General features: G+C 47.5%; 1 long non-coding RNA gene across 1 annotated transcript, besides 1 other annotated feature; it reads right to left on the bottom strand.

Moving 5' to 3' along the window:
* Positions 1–538: 538 nt before the first annotated feature.
* LINC02003 (long intergenic non-protein coding RNA 2003) lies at positions 539–12,864 on the bottom strand. Its single transcript, NR_135222.1, has 4 exons — positions 11,533–12,864; positions 1,769–1,945; positions 1,448–1,668; positions 539–770 (listed from the first exon to the last, which is right to left on the bottom strand). It is a non-coding gene; the product is annotated as a long intergenic non-protein coding RNA 2003 (long non-coding RNA).
* Positions 10,933–10,992: an enhancer, noted in NCBI's record as "active region_12668". NCBI's record gives its function as "activates an Ori minimal core promoter by ATAC-STARR-seq in GM12878 lymphoblastoid cells {active_cell/tissue: GM12878}" and the evidence as "EXISTENCE:reporter gene assay evidence [ECO:0000049][PMID:35858748]".
* Positions 12,865–18,299: the final 5,435 nt, after the last annotated feature.

Genomic DNA, 18,299 nt, shown 5'->3' with positions numbered 1-18,299 from the left:
CAGGAAGCTATTTCCCCCTTTTGCCATGTGAGCACATCACAAGGGGTCAGCAGTCTGCAACCCAGAAAAGGACCCTCACCAGAACCCAACCAGGCTGGTGCTCTGACCTTGAATCTCCAACTTCCAGAACTGTGAGAAGTAAATTTCTGTCATATATAAGCCACTCAGGCTATGATATTTTGTTGTAGTGGGATGAACAGACTAAGACGTAGTATATGCATAGTTCTGCCATTTCCCCATCAGTGTATATGGATACCTTATTCTTTTGTAACTGCAGTATGATATTCCATAGCATGTGTGATATCACATAGCATATGTGATAAGTGATGTAACCATTTGCTACAAGTGGATAGCCTCTGGTTCAACTTCTACATATAGTTGACTCTTGAACAATGTAGGAGTTAGGGGTGTTGAGCCACCAGGTAGTTGAAAACCTGTGTATAACTTTTGACTCCCCTGAAACCTAACTAATAGACTTGTATTGACTGGAAGACTTACCAGTGACATAGACATTATTTTAACACATACTTTGTATGTTATAGGTACTATATACTGTATTACTACAATAAAGTAAGGTAGAGAAAAGACAATGGTATTAAGAAAATCATAAGGATAATTACCATTTGACCCAGCAATCCCATTACTGTGAAGCAATCCCGTTGCTGTGAAGACATTTTGTGGATGTCATTAACATCAACAATCAGTTGACCTTGAGTAAAGGAGATTATCCTTGGGAATAAGGGTGGGCTTCATCCAATGAGTTGAAGGCCCTAAAAGCAAAATCTGAGGTTTTCTAGGGAAGAAGAAATTCTCCTCAAGAGTATACCATCAACTCCTGGCTGGGTTTCCAGCCTGCCAGCTTGCCCTACAGATTTTGACCTCAAGATTGCAACATCCACAATTGCCACCCTATTGGCCTGCCCTCCAGATTTCAGACCTCCCAGTGCCTACAATTGCTTGAGCTAATTTATTAAAATAGATTATCTGTCTATCTATCATCTATCTGTCTATCTATGTATCTATCTATGTATCTATGTATCTATCTATGTATCTATGTATCTATCTATGTATCTATCATCTGTCTATCATCTATCATCTACTATTAGTTCTGATTCTCTGGAGGACCCTGACTGATACAGAGATTTAGTACCTTGCACATGTTTCAACTTTAAGAATTGGGGCTGTAAGACTCAGGCTGCCGAGGCTGCAGAATAGAATCTCACAAAGCCATTCCAGCCCAGGTCCTGCCTGCTGCTTCCAGAGATACCTCACTGCTCCTGCTCCTACGCTCAGACATATCTGGCCTCTGGGTTTCCTAGCTGACTGGTCCCTGTCCTCTGTCAGCAACAGAGATCTTCTCCAATCCTTCCTCATGTCTGTTCATACCATCCCCACGACAAGTCAGTGTCATTGTTTTGTGATCCCGGTCATCCGCGGACAGGCATACCTCCATGGGCCTGCCACTTCTGACTCCCTCCTTCCCAAGCCATCAGCTCCAGGAGCCTGCCCAGCTGTCTCGATTGGGTCACCTGCTGGAATTCCCCACTAGTGACGACTTCTCCTCGCAGGTGCTTGAGGAAGGCAAGACCTGCACAGGTTGCATTTCGGGAAAATCACTCATGATCGATCCTCATTTCCCCATTGAACCATCAGAACACACACAGTTCCCTATCACAGCAGCAAAACGAAAGGAAAAAGAAAAGTGCTTTGGAAAGGATTTGTCCTCTTAAAAAAAAGTAATAAAAATAAGACCTCTTAGGCTATTCACCTTTGGGGTGAGGAAGAGGTGGAAACCTTGCCAGAACAGGTCTCCAAAGTTTCCTGTTTTCAGGCAAGCGAGGAGCAGAATGCAAACATCCTTCTTCATTTACGGTCTTTGTTCTTGCTCAGTCAGTGTGCTGTGCAGCAGGGTGGCCTTCCAGGCGCATGCTCCCATCTGCGTTATCTGCCTCAGATCAAAAGAGAAAATGCATGAGAATGTGCTCGGAAGGCCTGGATAACGCATACATGCCAGCTATAATCATAATCATGAGTGCGTGGGCTGGGACCTCTTGGGGAATCTAAGACTGTGTCTCTTTCTCTTCGATCTGTCTCCTCTGGTCTAACACTCATTGCATGTTAATGGGTCAGCACTAGGCTGAGCACTGGGTGAGGGGCTCCTCTCCGATGGGTCCGTTTATGAACCAAATCGAAGGATGAGAGTTTCCGTTTCTCCCAGAGAACATGATGACTAAAGAATTCATTCATTCAGCACCTTTGAGCATCCACTCTTTGGATTCTATCTGTGAAATTGCCTCTGCCTTCTCCCCAAAGATCTAAGAAATCCATAGTCATTTGCCCAAGACAGTCCTAGTCGGAGAGTAAACCCTAGGGTCTCACTGTTTATTGCCCCTCTGGGCAGCCCAGAAACAGCCAAGGACTTCTCCTAGGCGCTAGTATGAGGCTTGGCACTGAGAAGCATGCTTGCAAAGAAATGCTGTTATCAAATGAATTTGGCTATTTGATTATCTAGGGAATTTGAAGCTGATGTAAAGTACAAGGCAGGGATCTGGGAAGGGCTGTGTTTGGCTTCCCGTACAACCCTCACCGAGTGGTTGAATGTTCAGGAAGAGTAAGCAACCAGTGATAGATGGGGGTGGAGTTGGGGACAATGTCCTTATACCAGGAAAAATTAGCCCCAGCTTTTAAATCCTAGCAGCAAGGTGCTGGGGATTCAGGTTAAGGTCTTCATGGAAGAAATTGGGCTTCAGGGCAGTGGCCGAGTTAAGTGAATAAACAAGTGTGGAAAGAATCAGTCTCTGAGCCTGATATTTTGGGCAAGATGTTGCCACACGCCTAGTGGGCTGGACGGCTAGGAATACGTGTCATTTATTTAGAATTTGGCACACTGGGAAGTATATTTGCATATGTTCCTGCTTAGGGCTCACAGCATTGGAAGGTAGGAAGGATAGGTACTCTCATCCATGCTCTGTTATTTTTGAGGATGAGGAAACTTTTCCAAGGCTGCACAACTAAAAGGCAGCAGAATTCAGAATGTCGGTAAGCTCGACTTGAAGCCCAGTGCTCTTTTAACCTCGTTATCACGGAGGCCATTTTTGAGGACTGGCAAAAGCACTTTGCATTCTGACAGAGAGGCTTGGCACTCTCTGCAAAGTGAGTTTGCTCATGGAACCAAGGTTGGGGTTTTGCTGCAGCAGTATTGTACTGTGAGTTGGGAGATGGGGGCAAAGCGGCTGTCTCAAAACTGATGTTCTAAGGGATGGTGCTGGCTGATTTTCCTTTCCAATTTGCAGGACTCCTGCCCAGCACACAGCCAGGGGCAGGAACCCATCCCTGGACACGGGGAGCAGAGGCCAGCCATGCAGGCTGTGTGCAGCGTGGCGAGATCGCGGCAGGGCTGGCTTCCCACTACGTGATTGGGAGCATGCGGAGGCAGGGCGGTTGAACTGCGGGTGACCCCGCGAAGCAAGGAGGCTAATTAAAGCTTCTCTTCCCCACACTTCAGTCACAAGCCCCTCCTGCCCTTCCTCCTGATGGTGCGGCTGATAAGGAGGGATTGAATTTATGAAAAGCGATGAAGATGTTTGGATAAGCCCCGGTACCAAGGCAAGCCGGCCGAACGAGTTAGGGCCTGACAGAGGCAGCAGGGTGGCTGAGAGCGTCCTTAGGGGCAGGCGAGGCAAGGAGTAGAGGGAAAGAGAACCAAATGCTAAACGTGACAGCCCGCAGGCCTGGCCTGGGACTGCACACCTTGGCAGTTCAGGTGGAAATGGACTTGCTGAGAGCTGGCTCTGCTGAGATCGCTGGGCTTGCAACCGACAGCTCTCAGACCTGCCACCAACTCTCCTGAGAGTAAACAGGAGGATGTGAGGCTGATGAGTGGGAAAGCGGGGAGACTAGAACCTCCTGTCCACAGGCACAGAGGTTAGACAGCTGAAGGGAAGAATAACGAAGATGACAATAGCCATCTTTTAGGAGCACTTACCACGTGCCAGGTGCTGTGCAAAGGGCTTTCTATGCAATATCTTACTTAACCCTTTCTCATGAATGGTGTGGTTGTTCTCATGACCATTGCATGGATGTGGAAAGTGAAGGTCAGAGAGGTTAGGTAACCTGGCCAGGGTCACACAGCTGTAAGGGATCTAGGAATCAAAGCCAAACAGTGAACTGAAAAAAAATAAAAAATCAAGCAGTGAAGTTAACCTGCTCCAAGTCAGTCCATGGTGCCACATGGCGAGATGGGTATCCTGGTGCGTCTACCAGGATTGCAGGGTAAGATCTAACTTTTATCCCAGGCGGCCTCGATGCAGCCATTGTCCAGGTGGCTCCTTACCTGCCCCTCTCTATTGGCCCCTCTGTCCTTCTGCAAGGGGTTACAGGGAGCAGGTGCTATCTGCAGACCCGGAATTCTCCCACCCCAAACTCTCAATGTTGGCTGTGGAAGCACCAGTTTCCAAGGTCTTTAGAAGGGAAATGCCCCAACATCTGCCCAACCCCAAACACCCATGCCATGCTGTCCCAGAGGAGCCCTGGGGTTCTTACGGCCACCCGGTCTCCCGGCCTGGCCCACCTGGCCCCGCTCAGGGCTCCTTGCAGCTTCGCTCCTCCTAGGTGCTGCCCACTCCCAATCCTGTGCGTGATTCCTGGGTAGATGATGGAGGCAAGTGGCTGCCTCTGGTGTCCCTGAAGCTGGGGGTGGGTCCACGAGGAAGGCAGGCTAGCTGGCACAAGTATAATGTCCTATGAGATGCATGTGTCACTAACCTCTAAATTAAAAGGGACACCCCCAACCCCAGCATGCTTGGGAAGAAGGTAAGGGCAGAAGCAGGAGTGAGTGTCCTCAGCAGAGTTTCCCTAACTCGAATCTCCTGGGTTGTGACTTTCTCCTGCCTCTTAGAAACCAGCCTTGGAGTGAGGCTGGTAAGCCGCACCTGCAGAGATGGGTCCTCCCAACATGGAGTTGTCTTCCTCCCCGGCTTGCTCCCCTTCCTCCCCAGCGTTGCTCATTCATAAAATGAGGACTCAACCCATTTGAATTAGCCAAATTTCATAGCATGCTCATTTCAGCCAACTCCAAAGTCAAAGTCAAACGTGCTCATTAATACATTATTTTGAACACCAGATTTTCCATCCATTTCCCAGTTTTTGGGAATGCATTTTCACCAAGAAGGTAACACTATGATCCAGATAATTAAGGCCGGGACCATCTGGTTTGGTCTGGTCTGATCCAGTTGGGGCTGGGAGGTAGTCAGAAAGAATAAAGCCAGGATGGAGGGAATGTCTGTGCATTTTGATATAAAATACCCACCATTCTGGTTAAATGCAAGGCACGATGTATAAATCAGCCTGAGTCATTTAAGTGAACAGTTCAGACTTGGCTTTAATGTTGGTCATGGTGCCCACGACTCACTTCATTAGTGTCAGTTTAACAGTTGGTTACATGGGCCAGGGGTAATATTAATGATTACTTATTAGTTAAGTGGACATGGAGCTTTTACATAAAATGCCAGTGGCACAGAGACCTTTCCAATGGCCGTGCAGGCTGTGATGGGCAGGGTAGGGCTGTGGGCCTGGGAGAGTTGGAGCTCCCAGGAGGATGGCTTACAAAACATCCCCTGAACCCCAGCAGGTCTGGCTGGGCCTCACCTGGAGCTCAGCCCAGGAGGCCCCTGGAAAGGTGAGCTGTTGCCCCTTTGGGGCCGAATCATTGTCCGAGCAAGAGCTTTCTCTGCAGAACCAGAGACCAGCCCAGGAGGCAGCTCCCTAGAGCCCAGAAGAAATGGAGAGAACGGCCCCTGGGCCTCCCTCCTGGAGAAGAAGCTGCCTGTGCAGTCTGGATTGGGTTTTTCTTGTGCCAAGAGGGGAATGCACACCGATGATTTACGCAGACATTTATAGAAAGCATACGGCTTTGCTCATTCATAAAATGGAAGAACAGTGTGTTTTCTGCCCTGGCTGGGCTCTGGGGCAGCTCTCAGGGTAGTGCGGCTGATTGTAATCGTTTCTGGACATGCCCTGATTTGCCTGCGGGGAGAAGGCCAAGGTTGCATGGGAACAGGCCACAGATGGAGCCCCAAGTGCGGGCAGCCTGCCCCGTGGAACAGGGCCAAGTTGAACTGTTAGAAGGGTCCTCTCCAGGTCCTGCCGTCCCTCCAGCCCTCCACCTTCCCACGCCTCCTTCCACTCCTCCATCTTCCAGAGCCTCCTGACTGCTAGGAAGGCAGCAGCCAGGGTCAAGTGACATGAAGACATGGGGTTGGTGGCGGGGGCGCCTTGTGAGAATGCAAGGGAAAGGGGATTCTTCCTGGCCTGCCTGGTCAGTCAGGTAAGGGGCTTCTATGCAGCCTGAACTGATGCTGGCTGGCAGCCCCATAGGAGCCAAGGTCGGGTCTTCCTCTGCCTAAGCAGCCAGTGTCTCAGGTGAGCTGACTGTTGACTCAGGGTTTCAGCATCTTCTCCACATCTGGCCCAGCAGCCTTGCCCCCCAGTGGGTGAATGGCAATAGAGAACTAGCTTGTCAGAAGCCATGGACCAACAGTGAGGGATTTTATTCAGTGCTGCTCTGACCCCCAGCTCTGATGTCAAGGGCTATGGCACGGGCTCTGGGGAGGGATGTGTGTGGTGCTAGTGGATCTGGACTGCGGTGTTTTGTTTTTTTTTTACAGAGTTTCACTCTTGTCTCCCAGGCAATGGTGCAATCTCGGCTCACTGGAACCTCCGCCTCCCGGGTTCAAGCAATTCTCCTGCCTCAGCCTCCTGAAGTAGCTAGAATTACAGGTGCCTGCCACCATGCCCAGCTAATTTTTTTTTTTTTTTTGGTATTTTTAGTTGAAACGGGGTTTCACCATGATGGCCAGGCGGGTCTCGAACTCCCGACCTCGTGATCCACCCGCCTTGGCCTCCCAAAGTGCTGGGATTACAGGTGTAAGCCACCACACCCGGCTGATCTGGGCTGTTTTAAGTGAACGCTCGAGCTGGGCAAAATGAATAGTGGTGTCTTTTCTGTTTTCCACCCCCCTCTTTCAAGCCAAAGGCTCAGGAACTTGGTCAAAGAGGTTGGAGGCGTGGGCTAGATGACCCGTCCCAATCCCATCCCCTGAGGAGTGAGTTCCAGCAATGCTTCACCGTGGGCCGGTTCTGCAGGCTGGACACCCAAGGTCGGGGTGTCTGCAGGTTTTTTTCTTTCCTCCTGAGGCCTCTCTGTGGCTTAAAAACTGGGTGCCTTCTCCCTCTCGCTGCGTTCTCACCTGGTCTTTTTCTCTGTGCTTGCACATGTCTGTGTCCTAATCTCTTCTTCTTCTTGTTATTTTTTCTCTTTGTTTTCTGTTTTTTGTTTGTTTGTTTGTTTTTTGTTTTTTTTTTCGTTCCAGCTGGTCTCTTTTTTTTCTTTTTTTAAAAGTCAATTTAATTTAATTAAAAAAAATCAACAAATAGTAACTGTGCATATTCATGGGGTACATAGCGATGTTTTGATCCACAGACTGTATAGTGATCAGATCAGAGTGATCAGCATAGCCATCATCTGAAACATTGATCTAATCTCCTCCTTTTATAAGGACATCAGTCGTATTGGAAATGGGCTCACCCATATCACCTTGTTTTACCTTAATTACCTCTTTGAAGGCCTTTTCTAGAAATACAGCTGTGCTTTCAAAATATCGAGGCTTCTTCTGGTCACTGGGCTAAGCACAAGTGGAAAATACATTGTCTAAGTTCAATCAATCCTCAGGTTATGATACAGGATCAAACTCTACCTGAAAAACAGTTCAAAAGCTATGGAAACACATTATTATATCCTTGTGGCCCATGTTTATTAATTGTATGTTGTAACTTTAGCTCTAGTGATTAGCACTCATTTGCATTAAAGAATTATAAGGACAGGTGAGCTTAGAAAAAAAAAAAAGAAAAATACATTGTCTAATTTAACCATAACACAGCCCTGAGATGTCGGTATCATCACCCCCATTTACTGAGGAAACAGGCTCGTGGAGGTTAAAGGAAATTGTCCCAGATGGCTGATTCCAAAGCCCCATCTCTTAAGCAAAACAAAAATGCAAGGATGCTGGAGGGAAAGCATCCAAGAATAAGGGTTATGTGGTGCCTGCATCAGAAACCGCCCTGCACACTCTGCAGCCCTCTGGCCTCCCCATTTTGCTTAGGTGGAAACCACTGTTCTTTACAGTCCTGTTATGAGGGGCCAGTGACTCTGGTGTCCCCTCTAACTAGCACTGCCTGACCCATGTGGAAGCTGATAATTTCCTGTCCCTGGAGAGACCTTAAGGCAAGGCTTCTGAATTGGGGGAAACTCAGTGTCACCATATGTACAATGGGAGTAGAGAAACCTCGCCCAAGTATTATTTATTAGAAGATCAGCATAGGGGGATGGAGTAACCCAACAAAGAATTGGACAGCGCTGGCACCAAAAATGAAGATGGTCATAGGGACCCTTGTGTCCAGGCTGTGAAAAACTGCTAAGAATGTGGCATGCAGAGCTGCACTGGTGGAAGGAAATCATATCTTCACGTCTCTGCCTTGTGCCTCTACGTCCTTTTCTTTTGGCTCCAAGAATCTGTTCCGAAAGGGAACCAGCAATTTCCATAGAGTTGATTCTTTGAGTTTCTTTGTTTCTTTTATTTTTTCTTTTCTTTTCTTTCTTTCTTTTTTTTTTTTTTTTTTTGACACAGAGTCTTACTCTATCACCCAGGCTGGAGTGCAGTAGCGTGATCTCGGCTCACTGCAACCTCTGCCTCCAAGGTTCAAGCGATTCTTGTGCCTCATCCTCCTGAGTAGCTGGGGTTACACCACCATGCTCAGCTAATTTTTGTATTTTTAGTAGACATGGGGTTTCACCACATTGGCCAGGCTGACTTCAAGTGATCTGCCTGCCTCAACTTCCCAAAGTGCTGGGATTACAGGCGTGAGCCACCGCACCCGGCCTAGGAACAGGATATTTGTATCATCTTAAAGTGTGTCCTTTCTGACTGCTTATTAATTTGCAAGGGAAGAGAAAACCCCACAAAAGCAACTATTATTTGTGGGAAAACTGGGCAATATCTTAAGCAGGGGATCAAAAATATAATCACCCAAGAGGGCAGATGACATCTCGTGCCTCCAGAAGGGACACCATGAGGACATAGCATCACCTAGTAGCACAGCTGCCCGGAATGTACAAAGTCTATTTGTTCACCAGGAAACATCAGACAAAAGCCCCAGGTGGAACAGTCTATTAAAGGAAAAGAGGTGTAAGCTGGGACTGTGTTCTTTAAAAACGTGATTGTTATAAAAAGGTGAGAAAGCTGTGCAACGTTTCAGATTGGAGGTGGCCAAAGAATCAAGGCAGCTTAATGCAACGCCAGTCTCTAGATTGGATTCTAAGCTGGAGGGAAACCATGGAAGAAAGGAAAGTATTGCATTAATTGACAAAACTGGAACATAGATGGAGATTAAAGTAGTTTATCAATGCAAATTTGGGAAGGTGGTAACTGCACTGTGGTTATATAGGAGAATATTGTGAATCCCAGAACTCTGGGAAGCCGAAGTGGGTGGATTGCTTGAGTCCAGGAGTTCGAGATCAGCCTGGACAACATGGCAAAACTCTGTCTCTACACACACACACACACACACACACACACACACAAAGCTGGGCATGGTGGCACATGCCTGTAGTTTTAGCCACTTGGGAGGCTGAGGTGGGAGGATTGCTTGAGCTGGGGGGAGCAGAGGTTTCAGGGATTCGTGATTGTACCACTGCACTCCAGCGTGGGTGACAGAGGAAGACCCTGTCTCAATAAAATAAAATGTTAATAATAGAAAACCCTAGGTGAAGGGTATACAGGCATTTCTTTTACTATTTCTGTAACTTTTTATAAATTTGAAATTTTCCCAAATACAAGGTTTAAAACATGGCCCAAAAGAGAAAGCATGCATTGCAGGAGCGCCACCTAGCATTCTGGTGTTCCGGATCAATTTTTCTTGACACCGTGAAAGGATCAGCATCCAGTTGGTAAAATAACCAAATCCTGCCGCTCTAGTCCACCTCCTCATCCCTGCCAGCTGCCTGGTACCAGCTTCATTCCCAGTGTCTGGCTTTGGCTTGTTTCTGCTGTCTGCAATGCCTTTCCCTCTTCTTTCTGCCTTCCTGGCTCTTGTCTATTCTTCAGAGCCCGTTTTGAGCCCATCTCCTCCATGAAGCCTTCCTGGACTGCTGCAGCTCACAGTGTATATTCCCCAAAGACACAAGACCAATTTTACATGTCTTTGTGTGATAGTCATTAATGCTGCTGCTGAATATTTCTAGCTTTCTGATTATGGTGAGTTAGGACTGTACTTCCTGGCCCTTGTTGGGGTTGGGTGGGGTCATGTAACCAGTTATGGCCAATGAGTTATAAGCAGCAGGGTGTGTCACTTAAGGGCTGAGCCCTCCTTTTCATCTTCGCTGGTGACCAGCAATAATATTGCAGTTGTGGCTGCTCCATCAGCCTGGGTCAGAGAGTGGCCACAGCATGGAGCAGAGTCGCTAGCTGACTTGCAACGGACATGTAGCAAAAACAAGCAACAGACCTTTGTTATCTTAAGCCATGGGGATTTGGAGGTTGATATGGTTAGGCTTTGTGTCCCCACCCAAATCTCATCTCGAATTGTAATCCCCAGGTGTTGAGGGAGAGACCTGGTGGGAGGTGATTGGATCACGGGGGCAGTTTCCCCCATGCTGTTCTCAGGATAGTGAGTGAGTTCTCACAAGATCTGATGGTTTTATAAGAGGCTCTTCCCCTTTCACTTTCTACACATGCTCTCTTACCTGCTGCCATGTAAGACATGACTGCTTTCCCTTCCACCATGATTGTAAGTTTCCTGAGGTCGCCCCAGCCATGTGGAACTGTGAGTCAATTTCTTTATAAATTACCCTGTCTCGGGCAGTTATTTATAGCAGTGTGAGAACGGACTAATACAGGGGTTATTCATTCTCTTATCTAACCTATCCTGTCCTGCACTTATATGTCATACCTTTACAAATGTTGTTCCCTCTACTTTGAATGTTCCCCCTCCTTTCACCTGGCAAGCGATCATTAATCTTCCAAAGCCCCGTTCGAGTATCACCTCTTCGCTAACGTCCTCTAGAGTTAGAAACATCCTTCCAGGCACTGCTTCTGTTTGGTCATCCAACATATCGTGTGTTTACTGTATAGCAGGCGCTATGCTAGGTGCCGGGTTCATACAGCCTCCATACAACCAAGCCCCTGCCTTCCTGGGGCTTCCATAGGGAAGATTTAAGTTTACAGCCTCAGTCTCCTTCTCTTGATATAAATGCCACGAGGGTAGAACTCAGACCTAGTCATGTTTGTATTTCAGCACCTGGCAGAGAGTAGGACGCCAGTAACTATTTATTAAAAGTCAGAGTTGCACCTCTTTTTTTTGAGCAAACCCAGCCCTCATCCATCCTACTCGTGTATGCAATTCACACATGTTTACATGACCCCTGTTTTGTCCCCCTTCCTGGATCTCGGGCCCTTAGGGAGTGAGGCTGTGCCTTACCGTTCTGTGCGTGTGTGAGTCAGAGCTGCTGGTCCAGGGAGGCCTGAACACACGTGAGCTATGCAGCAGATGTCTTGCTCACAGCTCATAGAAATGGGGATGGAGACCATCATAAACTCATTCCAACAATGACATTACTTATGCAGAAAGCGGCAAACAGGTGACATTGAGATCGAAGGCTTTCCATCTGCAGGTGCTGCTACTGTGTTGTGGGCTTGTCCTTGGGAATGAACAGTAGACTGGAGACAGAGTCCTAGGCATAGCCCCAGAGTCACTGGTGACTCTGTTGGTCATTGGGCTGGTCCTGTCCCTTCTCTGGGCCTTGATGTCCACTTTTCCAAAATGGGGAGTGGATGGGGGATCTTCACTTCTCTGTTTCCTCAAAGGCAATCTAAGCGGGTTCATGTGGGATAACCCCAGAAAGATCCCAGGAGGAGCATGTGGGGGAACCTCCTTTTTATGCATAGTTTAAGGGGAGGGAGAACAGCTCTGGCCTGGTCCAAGCCATTGCACACACTGTCCTTGTGGCCTGGACTCCCGGGAACATTTCTGGCATTTGGGGGGAAGGTTTGAGTTTGCTATTTTCCAAGCAGCACTGCTTCCCCGTCCCAAGAGAAAAAAACTGGCAGAGGAGAGCCGTGCCCTCTCACCCCTCCTCTCTGCATGGTGGTAACACTTCAGTGGGCTCTCTAATGAGCCTGCACCCCTCCCTAAAGCCATGGCTTGTTTGCTTCTCCCGGGAGCCTGGCACTGAGCCCTAGATGCTGTCATTGTCTTGGGGACAGACTCCCCTCTCCCCAGCTCCTTACGTGGCTCACACCACTAGGTTGGGCAACTTTGTCCCGAACCAGGCTCGCACTCTGGAGATCCTTGAGCGGTTCCTCCATCCCCGGTGGCTGCTGAGAGCAGCACAAATCGGCTCAGCTGGTGCTGTGTGCACGTGTGCGCCTTTCCGTCTGGAAAGTTCTCAGGCTGGGCGAGGGGGGCCGATCTGCAGACATTTCATTCACAACTTGTTGTTGGTCAGTATTTCTCTTCCAAGGGAGGCGGAGGTGTGGTTGCAAAATAAATCTTAGTTTTTTTTTCTCCTCCCCAAAGAAATCATTGTGTTGTAATGCGGGGAGAGCCCGAGACGATGACATTTTTATGGGGCTGCCTCTGGTGAAGACTGTAGTGTCTGCTCCGGCCATCCAGAGGGTCCGTAGATCTCTTTCTCTCTCCCATCGCCATCCCCCGCCCCCTTTCTCTCACAGTAATACAACTTCAGTTCAATACTTGTCTAGAATTCTCAGTGGGGCTACCTAGGCTAAGAGGGGCGGGGGCGGGGGAGATGACATCATATCCTCACCAGCGGATTGGCTGCTTGCAGGCTTCAGGAATGATATCATCTCGGCTTGTGCCTCCCCACCCCCCTTTACTTCCAGTCCTTTCCTGGCCGGGCAAGGCCCCCCTCCCCAGCACCCCACCCCAGGATACCCCGTTGCCTTGGAGACCACAGTTTTCCACCCCGTTGTCTGAAGGAATAGCAATTCATTATATGTGTGACGTGGGGGTGAAGGGTGCAGGGAGACCCGGGCTGGACGGTTGGGAAGGAAGGTCGTGGACAACAAAGTAATGAACAAAAATATGTTTCACGCATGAGAAGCTGTCCGAGATGGCAGTGAGGGAGAGGTCATGGCAAACGGTGTTTATGGCATGGAAAAGTGAAGATTCAAAAAAAAACCCAAGGAGAGGCCAAGATAGTGTGGAAAATATCCACCCCCTCCCAGAGACAGCTCATTAGGAAGGTTTTGGAGGGAGACTCGCAGGAGGTCAGGGGCTGCTGTGTTATCTTTGGAGGAAAGGCCATCCCTTCTCTTCCCCTCCGCAGACGTATCCAGTGAGACAACTCTCTCCCCAGCAAGCTTTTCTCAGGGAGCAGGCAGTTTCTTGAAAAAATGAACCAGATGAGGATCCACCCACCTCCAGAAACAAAGACTGTGGCTGTCTCCAAGAATGAAGCACCAGTCTCTTAGTTGGTATCCCCAGGAGACCAAGGTGGGAGGGAAGCATTGCCCATCGAGGTTGTATGTGGTGTGTGTCTGTATCTGGGTGTGTTTCCATGATCTGTGGATGAACTGCATATGCCAATCATATTCACTAGGGAATATTTCAATTCTTATTTCCCTGGGACAGGTTAAAGACAGCAGCTCACAAATTCCCCCGGGTCCTGTCCTACCTCCTTGCACGCCTTCCCCACTCTTGTCTCTTTCCAGAGGCACTCAATCTCTCTGCTTGCACTGTTCATATGTGTCTATTTATTGTATTTCTCTAGGTGTGTTTAATGTTGATTTTCTTGTCCAGGGCATTCTTTAGATTCAGCAATTCAAGGTTTGAGGTTTAGAATATTGGCGGGGACTCCTGGCAGGGATTCTGCTTTTTTGGATCCCTAATGATGTGTCAACCCCCAACTCTGTCTCTTCTTGGCCTCTCATAGGCTGCCTCTGAGGCTGTTACAGGTGATTCTGAAACTACAGCTTTCTAGTTAGAAGGAAAATAAGCACATGGCAAAAAGAGATGTTAAACAGGTACCCGCACGTACCTGAGTGTTGAAGAATGTTGGGTAATAAGGAGAGAGCCAATAGATGCATTTTAGGAACAGATTGTTTTAAAATGTGTGTGCAGAGATTGGTGTATATTTTTTCCCTATGTCTACAACATACTAACAACTCAATAAATGTTGGCTATTGTTATCTTCTTGTTTATTCTTACAGATTTTGTCAGCTAAAAGTGCATTTTTAAATACCAGCTAAAATGGATGAAAACTATATACACTATACACAAACATACACATACATGTGCGGGTCTGTGTGTACGTGCATGTCTCTCTCTATATATACATATATGTCTCTGTGTGTGGGTGTGTGTGTGTGTCTTTGTGATTGCATTTCCTTATTTCTGTTTTTGAGCTTTCTCAAATGTTTTGCAGTGAGTAGGTATTACAAATATAATCAGGGAAAAGAAGCTATTTTAAAAAATCGGTCATTGGGCAGGATGTTCCAAAGGGCAGATGAATGTAACTTCCAAGATGAAGTAACCGGATGTCTGTCAACTCAGAAAACAAGGTATGCGTTTGTCCCCTGTGGGGTGGTGACGTGAACCTCTCTGGAGTCCTGTGGCTCCTCTTCATTCTGCCTTGGCCTAATTTCTCTGCTTTAGAGTAAACGCAGCTCCTCTGAGTGCCAGGAATGGAGGTGATCTCGGGCAGCCTTCTAATCCATCCTCCTCCCATCTAAACTGAAAAGTGGATATTAATCCAAGATTTCCACAATCCGTCACCTCAGAATCCACACGCCCAAAACCAAAGTCATAATTTCTGAAACTATCTCCTACCACCCCCTAAAGTTCCTGTGTTTGCCCCAAGAACTACTATTTTTATCCAAGCCAAAACATGTAAAGTCATTTTTGATTACTCTCCGTATGTCAGTCTCTAAGAGTCACCAAGAACAGTTCATGTTTCCTTCCAAGTATGTCATTGCAGTCATCCTTTCCACTGTCCCACTTTTCTAATTCAAGCCATTTCTTTCAAATTCCAGCTTAAATGCCTTCTCTTCCATGAAGACTTCCTTGATCACTCCTGTCTTTACAGATGAACGGCTAACTGGAATACCAACAGAATAAACAGACTTTAGTCCTGCCATCTGCCCTGGCCCATGCAGCCTGGCATTGTTTAGGGGATCATACCTGGCTTCCCACCCAGGCCACATGACTCTAGAGGGCAAGACTTAGTAAGGTCACGTAGTAGGAGCTCAATATAATTTATTGGTTAGACAAGAGGAAACCACTTCTTCTCTTGACAAGCCATGTTGGTATTTTACCTTCTTCCTTTTATAGATATACCCTCCCAAACACCTGCCCTGAATGCCTACCATTTAATTTAAGCTAGCTTTTCTCTCTCTTTCCTAGTCTAATTTCTTACATGTTCTTGTCCTTTAAGATATTGATGAAACTCTACCTAAACTCCACCTTTAGAGTTTAATTATTCTCCCAGTAAGTAGTTGATTCTCTTAGTTGATTTAAAAGGCAGGACAGTCCAAGGTTTAAGGGTGTGGATTCTGGAGCCAGACCACCTAGATCCAGGGGGTCTAATATGGTAACAACTAGCCACATGCACCACGTAAATTTAAATATAGTTAAATAAAATTTAAAATTCACTTCCTCAGTTACACCAGTGACTTTTCAAGGACTTAATAGCCACATGTAGCAGTGGTGACCCCACTGGAAAGCATAGCCATGGGACATGTCTATCACTGCAGAAAGTCCTAATGCAGAGCACAGGCTAGATCCACTGTGTGTGCAACCTTAAGCAGAAATACCGTATTTGACTTTCTGGGCCAATTTCCTCATGATTCCTACCTCGTTGAGTTGTTCAAGCCTTAAATGAGTGAATACACATAAAATACTTGGAATATGTCTAGTGCATAACCACCACTCACTCATAGTTAGTTGTTACATTCTGCACAAGCTTGTGTTCTAGCTATCAATTCATCTCTGTGACCTCATCATGGGTCTGTCTTGCATTTTTTGGTAACAGCATTCTCAGGGCCTTCTGCCAAGGGCCCGCTTTGATCTCCCTTAAAGGACAGCATTATCTGACCAGAGGTATTCATGGGGCCCACCTTCCTACTCAGTCCCATACACATTTCTTTATAAAGCCATCAGCGCCCCCTTAGAAGTAAGAAGTGCTCCGTGTGGGAGCTGGGGAGGGGCTGTGAGGTTGGCAGTGAGCCCCTGTGGCTTTCAGGATGGGCTCCTTGTCTTGGTCACCACCAGGCCATGGAAGCTCTGTTTTCTCCCCGGGACCCGGGGCAGCGAGTAGAGAAGCTGGAATGATGTTTAATCAGCCTGGGCATTCCTCACTGGTGACCTAATGAGCCGGCATGACTAAATGACCATTAGACGGAATGTTTGTGTGAACTGCAATAGAAAAGTTCCTCTCAACTTCCTGAAAAGGAAGATAATATATCTAAATAGCTTCCTGTCTCTTTGCTGCCAAGCAGCAGCCGCAGCAGCAAAATAGATTCTGCAGCAGGGAAATATTTAGCACATTGGGTGTGCTCAGCCCCTCTCTGTTTGGAAGGGTGAACCCAGCAGGGAAGTGAGTGGGGCAGGAGACATTCCCAGATGCTTGTGATGTTTGGAGAGATGATTGACGATTTGTTTCTGGGGTGGAGATTAGGAAGACACAGGCCAGGTATAGAGGGTATTGAGGAGCATAGGACAGAGATGGGGTAACCTTTCAGGATCTTGTTGCTCACCTTGATGTGGTGTTGTCAGGGCCTGGAGCAATCTTTGCTTTGGTTCTTAGAAACCTCGGTTCATGTTTTAGCAGGAAAGGGAAGGACAGACTGCTTCCTGCCTGCCAGATTGCTTCCAAGCCCCTATGCATGTCTCTTTGGAAGACCTTGCCATTGCTGTTAAAAATATGCTTAGGGGCTTTGTTTTGAATGGAAACTGCTACTTTACGCAGTCAAACCACAAAACACAATCCAGAAAATCCCATCTTCCATTTGCCATGGCTCAAGAGGGAGGAGGAAGCACGAGGTGTGCCTGTCTGTGCTGCCCTGGCTGGCAGTGTCCCTGAGGACCAGCTCTTGCAGACTTAGCCAGGTACCTGTGGGCTCAGCTTTGCTAGGACTGTCCCAGGTGTGGGCCCTTCTCTCCACACCCCTCCCCAGACCTCATTTATCCCTTTCTCTAACCACAGGCTACACCAAGCCCTATTAGCAGCTGTTCTTGGGATCCAGACCAGAGATTGGCAAACTTTTTCTTAAAGGGCCAGGAAGCAAAAAAATCCTAGGCTTTGTAGGCCAAGAGGCAAAGTTAAGGCTATTAGGGAGGTACTTATATAATCATTTTAAAATAAAAGAACGCTTTTTAGTTAGAGGGCCATGCAAAAGTGGGCAGTGGGCTGGATTTGGCCTGTGGGCCGTAGTTTGCTGACCCATGATATAGGCTGTAGACTGATGAACAATTTCTGTTTCATGGATGGGAAATATTCATTGAGAAGTTACTATGTACTGGATGCTGTACTGAATGCTGGGACATAGATGAAAAACAAAACAAAACAGTGGAACACAGGCTGTGTCTTTTCTAATTGCTCGCTTTCTCATGGGATGGTAGATTTATTAAGAGGTTGCTTCAATACTAGATTGTAGGTAAGTTCAGGGGCACACATGTTCAGAGGGATGGGGTTGGAGAGGAGTGTGTAGCCCAGCTACAGCATGTGGGGTGTGTGTGCGTGCAAGAGAGCGAGGAAGTGAGCAAGCAAGAGCTTGCCATATGTGGCTATTTCAACTTCAATGAAGTAAACTCGAATTAAAAATTCAGTGCTCGGTTGTACCAGCGACACTTCAAATGCTCAGTTGCCATGTGCAGCTAGTGGCAGCCATAATGGAAAGAGAAGGGGAGAGAAAGAGAGAAAAAAAGAGAGATGACGAGAGGGGAACATGGTATAACAAGAGAGGGGAAGATGGGATGACAGAAGAGGGGGAAGATGGGATGACAGGAAGGGGGAAGATGGGATGACAGGAGAGGGGAAGATGGGATGACAGGAGGGGGGAAGATGGGATGACTGCAGAGGGGAAGATGGGATGACAGGAGGAGGAAGATGGGATGACAGGAGAGGGGAAACAGGCTTTCTAGCTCAGAGCTCAGAAGATTCCCTATTCTTTAGGTCCCTTGAGATTGATCAGGAATTTTCTTGGCCAAGGCAAGGCAACCAGAAG

Source organism: Homo sapiens, chromosome 17 (assembly GCF_000001405.40).
Source record: "Homo sapiens chromosome 17, GRCh38.p14 Primary Assembly".
NCBI lineage: Eukaryota > Metazoa > Chordata > Mammalia > Primates > Hominidae > Homo > Homo sapiens.
The sequence above is the reverse complement of the archived record's forward strand: the minus strand, read 5'-3'. Positions and strand labels throughout refer to the sequence as shown.